The following is a 12,633-nucleotide window of genomic DNA, read 5'->3' on the forward strand; positions in this document are numbered from 1 at the left end:
ATACAAAATTAGCTGGGCATGGTGGCGCATGCCTGTAATCCTAGCTACTCAGGAGGCTGAGGCAGGTGAATTGTTTGAACCCAGGAGGCAGAGGTTGCGGTGAGCCGAGATCGCTCCATTGCACTCCAGCCTGGGCAACAAGAGCAAAACTCTGTCTAAAAAAAAAAAAAAAAAAAATCTAAACTAGGCTTGTGCACTAGTTGCTTAGTTGCTATGAAACAGTTCAAAGCTGCAAAAATTACAATAAAATTGCACCGGAAAACATATGGAGTTTCATAACTTTACTTTGGCTAAAATTTACTGGGTGATTACCAAGTATCACTGTGCTTTGACATACATCTTTTTATTAAATTCTCGTAATAGTTGACAAAGTAGGCACTATTATTGACACTAATTCTGACATAAATGAGCAGAGAGCTTAAGTAATTTATTTATATTTTTATTTTCAGTTGACAATAATTGTGAGCTTGAGTTGAAATCGTGCCACTGTACTCCAGCCTGGGTGAAAGAGCAAAACTCCATCTCAAAAAAAAAAAAACAAAAAACCCCTAAGGTTGTAAACTTGTAAAAGTGGTTTAACTGACCTAAAATAAGATGGAATCTATCAGTGTAGACATCCTCAGGGGACTTTATGGTAGCCCCAGATGATGAACCCTGACACATGGAAGTTGGTGTTACAGGCCTGGAGAGATTAGATGCTCCTTCATCTGGGTCAGCAACAACAAAACCCGTGCTTGTAAGCCACAATGCTGTAGCATGGAGGATAAGTGCCCAGGAGTTGTAATAATGCAATTTTGCATTTTCACTAGTCTCTGCTGTGTAGAAAGCACCACCTAAAGCAAACAGTTTCAGGAAAAATAAGAGATTAACTTCCAATATATTTTCTCTTTTTTCTGTTACAAGATATAGACCATTTCCATCACTCCGAAAGTTCCCTTGTACCCTTTTTCAGTCAGTTCCCTATACCCTAAGGCAACTACTTTCTAGTTTTTATCAGCACAGATTAGTTCTGCCTATTCTTGAACTTCATATAAATAGAATCACATATACATATGTACTTATTTGTGACTAATATATTGTTAACAAAATAACCTAACAACATTTTTAGAGATTCATTCATGCTGCTGTGTTATCAGTATTTTGTTATCAATGTTCTTATTTTTACTGGGAGTACAACTGATAGGTCATAGGGCTGATCTACTTTTAACTTCATAAAAAGTTTTCAGCCTAATTAGTAACTTTTTATAATTTAATCATAAACATTTTAAAACAAAATATGTGTATATGTGTGATTAAAATAAATACCAATACCCATTTACCGACTTCCAAGATGAACATTAACATTTTCCCTGATTTTCTTAAATCTCTCTTAATTTTTTTCTTTTTTTTTTCAGACAGTCTCACTGCAGTGGCGTGATGTCGGCTCACTGCCAACCTCTGACTTCTGGGTTCAAGCGATTCTCCCGCCTCAGCCTCCTGAGTAGCTGGGACCACAGGTGTGCACCACCACGCCCAGCTAATTTTTTGTATTTTAGTAGAGATGGGGTTTCACCATGTTGCCCAGGTTGGTCTTGAACTTCTGGGCTCAGGCAATCTGCCCACTTCAGCCTCCCAAAGTGCTGGGATTACAGGTGTGAGCCACCGCGCCTGGCCATTTTTTTGCTTAAAAAACCTAAAACTGTTAATACCACTAATTCTTGCCCCTCCTTCCATGACTACTTTCCTGAAGCCAGTAAGAATGACTCCTAGATATGGTCTTATACTTTCACAATAATGTATGTATTCATTAATAACATACGCTATTTTTTTTTGTGTTTAAACGTTTACTTAAAAGGCATCATACTGTATGTATCCTTTTTTTTCTTTGTGTAGATGGGGTTTCACTATGTTGTCCAGGTTGGCCCTGAACTCCTGAGCTCAAGTGACCCTCCCACCTCAGCCTCCTGAGTAGCTGAGACTACCAGCATGCACCACTGTGCCTGGCTTACATGCATCCTTTATTTTTTTTGGCCAGGCACAGTGGCTCATGCCTGTAATCCCAGCACTGTGGGAGGCTGAGGCAGGCAGATCACCTGAGGTCAGGAACTCGAGACCAGCCTGGCTAACATGGAGAAACCCTGTCTCTACTAAAAATACAAAAATTAGCTGGGCGTGGTAGTGCACGCCTGTAGTCCTAGCTACTTGGGAGGCTGAGGCAGGAGAATTGCTTGAACCCAGGAGGTGGAGGTTGCAGTGAGCCGAGATCAAGCCACTGCCCTCCAGAATGGGCCACAGAGCAAGACTCCACCTCAAATAAATAAATAAATAAATAAGTAAATAAATAAATAATTTTTTTTCCACTTAACATTATGTTTTTAAGATTTACTTACAGTTGCTATATGTCTGTCATTCATTTTTCTGTTGTGTAAATAAATCAGTTTATTTTCATGTTGTTTCCATTTTTATGCTACTGAAAAGTACAACAAACACTCCATATATCTTTTTGTGTATAATTCCAATGAAAATTCTAATAGAACTAGGCTGGCCACCATAGTGTACACCATAGTCCCAGATGCTTAGGAGGGTGAGGTGGCAGGATCACTTGAGCCCAGCTGTAGTGCACTATGATTGCTCCTGTGAACAGTCATTGTACTCCAGCCTGGGCAACCCAGCAACACCCTGTCTCTAAAAACCAACCAACCAACCAACCAACCAACCAACCAACCAACCAACCAACCAACCAACCAAATACACACACACAAAACTAGTAGAACTTTACAGGCTCATCCTAAAATTCATATCAAAAAGTAAAAATACAATGATAGCTAAGACATTTTGGAATAACATGAAGAAGATTAAGAGCGGCTACAAAGTAACCAACCCATAAAATGCAGTACTAGTAACTGATTAAAAATAAGAACCCTATCCCTATTTCCACACACACAAAATAAATTCCAGTTTTACCAAAGTTCAAAATGTAAAAGGCAAAACTGTAAAGCTTGTATGTCTTTATGATCTTAAGTTTAAAAATGTATGCGGTAACATACAAAAACACAAACCATAAATGACTGACTGATTACATTCTTTTAATTTTTTTTTTTTAGAGAGGGACTTGCTCTGTCACCCAGGCTGGAGTACAGTGGCACGATGATAGCTGCCTGCAGCCTCCAACTCCTGGGCTCATGAGATCTTCCCACATCAGCCTTCTGAGTAGCTGGGACTATAGGTGTACTACATCACACCCAGCTTATATTAGTTTAAAAAAGGTAAAAGAAAAGGACAAGTTACAGACTGAGAGAAAATACTTACAAGACATGCAACCACAAACGAATAGTGTTGTGTATATATATATATATAAAAAAGATTAAACAATCAGGAAGAAAACAATTGTTATAAATGAATTTCTGATGCTGCAAAAGAAACAGCACTCGGATATAATTTTAATTTCCTCAGCAAGGCAATTTACTTTTGCAAAAGGGTGTCACTCGCATCAATCAAGATCGCAAGTGCACACCAAACAAAGGAGACAAGGGGGTTTTTATATCCTAATGTGATCTGTATCTCTGTGTTCTTCCCCCATGGGCTGTGGACTGCACAATCTGAGCTGACCCGAATGGCCACTTGTATATATTTTTCTAAATATGGAAGGGAGGGGGACGTGAGGTCCAGTGGTGGAGCATGTGGGACGTGCAGTTTCGGGAGGACAATGGGTACAGGTAACCAAAGGAACAGATGTGAGTTATCAATTAAAACTGACAGGGAGAGGGTAGGCTGTTTACAGTAAGTAGAGGCAAGGAGAAACAAGAAAGTTGAGTTTGAGAACAAAGGGTAAGGAAGTTAAAGGCTAAATCTTTTGAAGAGAAACTCAGAAAGATTCATTGTATCTTACAACAAAATAAATACCAAATAGCAGATGGGCAAAGATTATGACTACATTATTTATGGAAGAAACAACTTAAAGATTCTTAATCAAGGAAATAAGAAAATAAAACAATGAAATATTTCATAGCCATCAGATTGGCAAAAATTATTAAGTATGATAATACAGTGTGGAGAAATGAAAACAAGTTGCTGGTGGGTGTGTCCTTTTTTTTTTTTTTTGAGACAGAGTCTCACTCTTGTCACCTAGGCTGGAGTGCAGTGGCACGATCTCAGCTCACTGCAACTTCAGCCTCCCGGGTTCAAGCAATCCTCCTGCCTCAGCCTCCCGAGTTGCAGGGATTACAGGCACTCACCACAACACTTGGCTAACTTTTGTGTTTTTAGTAGAAATGGGGTTTCACCATGTTGGCCATGCTGGTCTCGAACTCAGGACCTCAAGTGATCTGCCTGCCTCAGCTTCCCGAACTGCTGGGATTACAGAAGTTTGAGAACAGCCTGGCAACAAGGCAAAACCCCATCTCTACAAAAGATACAAAAATTAGCTAGGCGTGGTGGTGTGTGCCTGTAGTCCTTGCTACTTGGGAGGCTGAGGTGGGAGGATCGCCTGAGCCCAGGAGGCAGAGGTTGCAGTGAGCCAAAATTGCACCATGGCACTCCAGCCTGGGAAACAAAGTAAGACCCTGTCAAAAACAAAAAAAAAGAAAAGAAAATGTGTTACTGTCACTCTAGGAATTATCTAAGTATTTTATCTCCTTACCTTCAGCAGGAAGTTGGGAGGCAAATTCTGAAGGCAAAGTTAAAAGAGCAAAATCCTGAAGTGCAGCAAGCCAGAGTCTGCTTAGTGTGCCAAGATCTGCATAGACTAAGTCAAGCAGTCCATCTGATGAACATGATCCATTTCTGATACCGTCTTCTAAACAGGTGGTAGTCTTCAAAGGTTGTCTGTGGTTTTTATGTCTTTGCACAGCAATTATGTAGACCTGTTAAAGGTTAATTTAAAAACAGGAAAATCTTTTATCTGCTGAAAAGGTGCTATAAAATTTTTATATCTTCCTGAAGAGGCAGACTTACCTTTGAGCATACTGGACTTGAAATGCACTGTGATATCAAGAAGGCCTGTCTGTGTAACTACACACAGAAAACTGGGGTAGAAAGAGTCAAAAATACTATCTTCAATGAGATGCATTAGGGATAACAAATATCTGGTAAATATGATGCCACTTCTCACATTTACAATCATAATATTATATCACGGCACTCTTTCTCACTAAGCCTGGTATGGCCTAATAATCCATCTTAACATACAGCTACAGGTAGCCATCTCTTAACTGAAATACTGAATATATTTTCATTCAAATGTATCACTAAAGCTCTATAAAAAGTGTACACAAATAGATTTAATATGGATTATAGAATGTTAAAGTAAGCAACACAGTGTATAACATGCACTATCCCTTTATCTACAACTCTAAAATCCAAAAAGCTCTGAAAAAACCTAAGTTTTTGGCAAACTAATCTGGTGGAAAACTGATGAACTTATGTGAGGCCATTTAAATCTATATACACAACACAGTATAAATATTCAAACATTAATGTGTTTGATTATAGATTCTATGGTATTGCCCCAGACTTCCCAGATATATATTGGTCAGTCATTATTTATCTTTATTGAAGAAATAATATGAGGAGGTAACAGGCTTAAGCAAAAGCACAGAGATGTAGATTCAGTCTATTTTATTTTATTTTTATTTTTTTGAGAAGAAGTCTCACCCTGTCACCCAGGCTGGAGTGCAGTGGTGCCATCTCAGCTCACTGCAACCTCCGCCTCCCAGGTTCAAGCAATTCTCCTGCCTCAGCTTCCCAAGTAGCTGGGATTACAGGTGCGCACCACCATGCCTGGCTGGTTTTTGTATTTTTAGTAGAGATGGGGTTTCACCACGTTGACCAGGCTGGTCTTGAACTCCTGACCTCAAGTGATCTGCCCGCCTCAGCCTCCCAAAGTGCTGGGATTATAGGCGTGAGCCACCGCGCTGAGGTTATTTTATTTATTTATTTTCTTTTCTTTGAGATGGAGTTTCGCTCTTGTTCCCCAAGCTGGATGGTGCGATCTTGGCTCACTGCAACCTCTGCCTCCCGGGTTCAAGCAATTCTCCTGCCTCAGCCTTCCGAGTAGCTGGGATTTACAGGCATATGCCACCACGCCTGGCTAATTTTTTTTTTATTTTTAGTAGAGACGGGGTTTCTCCATGTTGGTCAGGCTGGTCTCGAACTCCTGAACTCAGATGATCCGCCCACCTTGGCCTCCCAAAGTGCTGGGATTACAGGTGTGAGCTACCGTGCCGGCCTAATTTATTTATTTTTAAAATTTTATATAGAGATGGGGTCTCAGTATGTTGCCCAGGCTGATCTTGAACTCCTGGCCTCAAGTAATCCTCTTGCCTTGGGCTCCTAAAGTGTTGGGATTACAAGCATGAGCCACTGCACCTGGCCAGACCCAGTTTATTGAATCTAGGCACAACTACTTCCTAATGAAGGTTGTGCTAAATAATGACAAAAATAAAGATTCTACAACTTTCAGGTTTAAAATACCTCTACTGGAGGAAACCCTTTTGTACATGTTGGTTAATCTCTTAGATGAAATCTGAGATTACATACCTTCATTAAAATGGTATGTGAACTGGGCCAGGCGTGGTGGCTCATGCTTGTGATCCGAGCACTTTAAGAGGCAGAGGAGAGTGGATCACTTGAGGTCAGGAGTTCAGGACCAACCTGGCCAACACGATGAAACCCCATCTCTACTAAAAATACAAAACTTAGCTGGGCGTGGTGATGCATACCTGTAGTCCCAGCTACTTGGGAGGTTGAGACACGAGAATCACTTGAAACTGGGAGGTGGAGGCTGCAGTGAGCTGAGATTGCTCCATTTGTACCCCAGCCTCGTCAACAGAGCAAGACTCTGTCTACAAAAAAATTATATGTGAACCAAGATTGGTCATGTTTGGTAACTGCTGAAGCCAGGTGATGGGTATATGTAGATTCATTATAAATACTATTAGGTCTACTTTTGCAAATGCTTAAACATTGCATAGTAAATTAAAAAATACTATAGCTTTCTCCTTTATTAGGAAAGTAAATAAGCATCTTACTGTAAGATTTCTTTATCCTTGGAAAATAAAATAACGACTACTTACTATTCAAAAATCATTCTACGAAAGAGCATTAGAAAGCATTACATGCTACAGAGTTGATAGAAGATACAAGGAGACCCAAATTTCCAATAATTCAGGATTCAATAAATGTTGATTTCCACTGGCTACTGTAAGTCTCTCTGGCTCATAAGTAGCACTGCTTAAAGTAGGAGATAATAGACTACGGAAGACTCTTTAAAATGCTTGACTAACATATTAACATATAAATACATCACATGTTGGAATTCTTTTTGTTTAACCTTAAAAATGAACTTATTTGTAGTTCATTTTAAACAGTAAATTTCAGTTTATGGCCTAAGGTGTTTATTAACAACTTCCAAAATTCCAGTTACAAATTAAGAAATACCAACCTCTGCCCAGGCTTTAAGCACAGCTAAGATCTCCATGGTAGAAGCACTTTCATTATATAAGTGACTTAGAGCTTCTTTTCCAGCCTGTATTTTAGTTAACGATGAAACAAGCAACTGATGAACTCTTCGGAGATCATTAAGGTCACTTACAACTCCACTTGCTATCCAGGCACTGCAAACCTAGTTTTCAAGAAATTAAAAGTTATATTTTAAAATTATAAGTATCTCCCTTGGCTGGGTGTGGTGGCTCATGCCTGTAATCCCAGCACTTTGGGAGGTGACGCAGGCAGATCGCTTGAGCCCAGGAGTTTGAGACAAGCCTGGGCAACATGGCAAAACTCTGTCTAAAAGAAAATACAAAAATTAGCTGGGCATGGTAATGTGCACCTGTAGTACTAGTTACTCAGAAGGCTAAGGCAGGAGGATTGCATGAGCCCATGAGTGTGAGGCCACAGTGAGCTAGGATTGAGCCACGTATCTAGACCTCTAGATTGGGTGGCAGAGTGAGACCCCATCTCTTAAAAAACAAAAAACAAACAAAAAAAGCCCATCTCTTAAAAAAAAAAATCTCCCTTGTGAGTTCAGCAGAGCTCACTCACATTTCAAGAATCTAGTCACTGAGACTATATTGCTATTGCTTTCGAGAAATCCTATGGAAGGAGACTGATAATGATAGTCAAAAGTCAGCATTTCCAAAGGGAACGAAGTCTAAGGCTGAAGCAAGGAAATCAGTGCTAATGAGTATATAAATTAAACATTTCTAGATGTATTAATATGGAGAAATGAAGCTATGAAATAATAAAACCCCAACAAAAATTTTGATTGTTTTGAAGACAGTGTAATTTTAATCTTAAAAACAAAACATCATTAATTCTACAATGCAAAACATTTACTCAAGCTATGGTTTTTCCAGGTGCCATGATATTTCTCTCTCGTTTTTTGGGATAGGATCTTGCTCTGTAGCCCAGGCTGGAATGCAGTGGTGGCATTACAGCTCATGTAGCCTTGACCTCCACAGGGGGATCCTCCCACCTCAGCCTCCTGAGTAGACAGGGCCACAGGCACATACCACCACATCTGGCTAATTTTTTATTTTTTTATAGAGAAAGGATCTCCCCGTGTTGCCCAGGCTGGTCTCAAACTCCTGAACTCAAGTGAGCCACTTGCCTGCGCCTCCCAAAGTGTTGGGATTATAGGAATGAGCCACTGTGTCCAGCTGATATTTCTCTTTTTCTAAGGAAAACTTATTTTTCCTCTTCTGTGTATTTGTTTAGTTCTTGTCTCATCTCACAAAATATTTCAAGTGGCTTACAGCAAGAACACACATAGTAAAGTTATAATAAATTAGAGATTCATACATTTAATGTAGTTCTCTGAATAGTAAAAGCACTCAACTATTTCCCAAGTACAATTAAATAAAAGAAAGTTGAAAGAACTGACTAAAATTAGTTTTTCCCACTATGCTTATAATTAATTTATTCATGCCAGTCCTGCTTTTAATTAGTTCAGGTCATCCCGGGCTAGATTTTTTTTTTTTTTTTTTTTTTTTTTTTGAGATGGAGTCTCCCTCTATCGCCCAGGCTGGAGTGCAGTGGCATGATCTCAGCTCACTGCAGCCTCTGCCTCCCCCAGGTTCAAGTGATCCTCCCACCTCAGCCTCCTGAGTAGCTGGGACAACAGACACCTGCCACCACGCCTAGCTATTTTTAGTAGACTGGGTTTCACCATGTTGGCCAGGCTGGTCTCTAACTCCTGACCTCAAGTGATCCACCTGCCTTGGCCTCCCAAAGTGCTGGGATTACAGGCGTGAGCCACTGTACCTGGCCTAGGGCTGGATATTAAGTGTCTGACAACGCAGTCTGAGAAAAGCAACTGTTTAAAATTGTATATTGTATGGCTCTTAAGTATATGAAAAAGTGCTCAATCTCACTTGAAATACAAATCTAAACTATCCTGAGACAGACTTTTTATTGTATCGTATAGACAAAAATGTAAAAGTTTGATGACTCACAATGTTGCTGGGACTGTGGCAAAACAGGTACTTGTATAACATTGCTGGTGGAAATTTAAATGGTAAACACCTCTAATATCCATCAATTATCCATCAATTCAATTTTGGGGGAATCCATCAATTCAATTTTGGGGAATTTATCTCACAGATATGCTTACACCCAGTGAAATGACCTATGCACAAGGTCACTCATACAGCACTATTCTAATAGCAAAAGAAAAAAACCCAATGTCCGTCAATATGGAACTGGTTAAATAAATTATAACATATCTATATAGTGGATTATCATGCAGTTATCAAAAAGGAAGAGTAAGTTTAAGAAGAAAAGTGTAAGCTATGATTGACGGTAAGACAACCATAAAGAAAAAACATTGGTAAAAAAATACTAACTGGAGGACTGCTTCCCAAGATTATCTCTTAAGCTTCATCTTTTAACCATTTACCTGACATGCTTTGGCAGTGACATCAGGTGGTGTCTCTGAAGTGAAGGCTGGTCTAAGCGCTGCTCCTACCTGGCAAGAAATTACATGACATATCAAACATCAAGAAGTAAGACAGCACAAGTTCTCCCTCTTTTTAATGTTATTTTAAAATTATTTATTTATAACAGGTATTATGGACAGCTGTTGTTTTGTCTACCCAGTGTATCTTCCCCTGTTTTTAGATAACAACATCCCAATTTTACCTTCGGGGAACGATCTTCTCTCCCCCTTTATTTTTTTTTGAGACGGAGTCTCGCCCTGTCGCCCAGGCAGGCTGGAGTGCAGTGGCGCAATCTCGGCTCACTACAGCCTCCGCCTCCCAGGTTCAAGTGATTCTCCTGCCTCAGCCTCCCAAGTAGCTGGGATTACAGGTGCCTGCCACCGCAACCAGCTAATTTTGTATTTTTAGTAGAGACAGGGTTTCACTATGTTGGCCAGGCTGGTCTCCAACTCCTGACCTCAAGTGATCCAACTGCCTCCTCCCAAAGTGCTGGGATTACAGGTGTGAGCCACTGTGCCCAGCCTCTCCCCAACTCTTAATCCATATTGTTGTTTTGGAGCTGACAGCATTGCCTGGCTCCAGGGACTCATGCTGGGATAATGAAGGCTCTCAAGACTTTCACTGGGAGTACTGGGAAAGAAGCACTGTATCTTTCTGAGGCCCTGGGTGCTAAGAGAGCCATCTTGATATCACTTGGAGAGAATAAACCTGAGAATAAGTCCACTGTGGAAGAAAGCAGAGACAATTAAGAGATTCCTAATAATAATTTTCCTTTACTGCTTGAGTTCTAATTGTATTTCTAGCACTTGCGATTGTAAGAGGGCTAAAAATATAACAGAACTCCTCTTAATTAAGTTGAATTATAATATTTCATTCTAATATAATAGTTCTTTTTTTTCTTTTTTTGAGACAAAGTCTCACTCTTGTCCCCCAGGCTGGAGTGCAATGGCATGATCTCGGCTCACTGCAACCTCCACCTTCTGGGTTCAAGTGATTCTCCTGCCTCAGCCTCCGGAGTAGCTGGGATTACAGGCGTCTGTCACCACATCTGGCTAATTTTTGTATTTTTAGTAGAGATGGGGTTTCACCATGTTGGCCAGGCTGGTCTCGAACTCCTGACTTCAGGTGATCCGCCTACCTCGGCCTCCCAAAGTGCTGGGATTACAGGCATGAGCCACCGCGCCCGGCCTCTAATATGACAGTTCTACGTAACTTTAATCCCTTCATTTTGCTTTGTCCCTAAGCATATGTTGGTATTAGCTGAACGAAGTCATGAAGACTGCTAATCAACTGATGAACTGCTCTGGTCTCCCTAACTGCTAGCCATCAGAAGTTGCTTCTGAATAATAATGAGAGATCTCCTTGGATGAATGCTGCTAGAGGATTACAAGACAGCTAATGATTTTGTTATCTTCCTTGTTCTTCTTAAATTGTTCAATGGACCAGTCAAATAATCAGTTAAAAAGATTACAAAACCAGTAATAGAAACCTGAATCCTTGGGCTGGGGCTGGTGGCTCATGCCTGTAGTCCCAGCACGTTGGAGGTGGAGGCAGACAGATCACTTGAGCCCAAGAGTTTGAGACCAGCCTGCGCAACATGGTAAAACCCTGTCTTTACAAAAAAACACAAAAATTAGCCGAGCGTGGTGGCGTGTGGCTGTAGTTACAGCTACTTCAGGTTGCAGTGAGCCAAAATCATGCCACTGCACTCCAGCCTGGGCAACAGGGTAAGACCTTGTCTCAAAAACAACAACAACACAAACCCCACAGAAATCTGAATCATTTCCTAAGTCTAGAAAATAAATGAAAGAGGTTATATATATTATGAAAATTAACCTTTATTTATTTATTTATTTATTTAGAGAAACGTTGTGTTTAATGGTAAAGCTTAGCACACCCCAGCACCAGGAATGGCGCGGAGTTGCAGCTGCAGGGACAGGCAGGTGACCCTCACGGAGCCTCACATGGCGAACAGGATGAAGAAGGAGATCATCAAACAGAAGAGCCCCATGGCCTCAGACAGGGCAAAGCCCAGAATGGCATAGAAGAGGAGTTGCTGCTTGAGAGACAGCTTCCTGGCATAGACAATAATCAAGCTGCCAAACACCGCTCCAATGCCAGCCCCTGAATCAGCCACACCAACTGTGGCTGACCCAGCACCAATAAACTTGGCGGCTGTGTCAGTGTCCCGGGAGACAACACTGGTCTGGAACTCCCGTCTGGCCACCTGGAGTGGGGAGCTGCTGTAGGAAGGCTGTTTAGATGAATTCTCTGGGCTATTCAAGGAGAAGGCAGACACAGGCCTGATTAGACCCCTGGTACAACAGCAGATCAGAGCTGGAGAAATGAGTAATACCCCGGTGGTCTGCATTTTTTCAGTCTCCCAGCTTTAGCCCTTGGTCTCAGCACTCAGCTTCCCCCACCCGGAAAATCAACCTTTAAAGTTACAAAACACTTGTTTTTTTATTTTTGTTTTCTTTAACAGGGCCATTTTTTTTCCCCCTCTCTGGAGATGGAGGTCTCCCTATGATGCCCAGACTGGACTTGAACTTCTGGGCTCAAGTGATCTTCCTGCCTCAGCCTTCTAAGGAGCTGGGACTACAGGCATACTGCCCTGCCCAAAAGACATGTTTTATGTACTTTGCTTTTACTTGAAGCTTTATAAAATATTAGCTGAAAGATTTCTTCTTCAAACACATGTACTTTCTATATATGGAAT

General features: G+C 40.8%; 1 protein-coding gene and 1 pseudogene across 1 annotated transcript in view; both read right to left on the reverse strand.

Moving 5' to 3' along the window:
* The window catches only part of HEATR5A (HEAT repeat containing 5A), a 128,763-nt gene that overhangs the window by 16,562 nt on the left and 99,568 nt on the right, over positions 1 to 12,633 (reverse strand). The window contains exons 26-29 of the mRNA NM_015473.4: positions 9,875 to 9,943; positions 7,421 to 7,600; positions 4,619 to 4,841; positions 585 to 833 (exon numbers count right to left, since the gene is read on the reverse strand). Coding sequence (NP_056288.2) covers positions 585 to 833; positions 4,619 to 4,841; positions 7,421 to 7,600; positions 9,875 to 9,943 — 721 coding nt within the window. The remainder of the gene's footprint in view (positions 1 to 584; positions 834 to 4,618; positions 4,842 to 7,420; positions 7,601 to 9,874; positions 9,944 to 12,633) is intronic.
* On the reverse strand, positions 11,772 to 12,339 carry ATP5MC1P2 (ATP synthase membrane subunit c locus 1 pseudogene 2; annotated as a pseudogene).

This window comes from Homo sapiens, chromosome 14, assembly GCF_000001405.40.
Source record: "Homo sapiens chromosome 14, GRCh38.p14 Primary Assembly".
Taxonomy (NCBI): domain Eukaryota; kingdom Metazoa; phylum Chordata; class Mammalia; order Primates; family Hominidae; genus Homo; species Homo sapiens.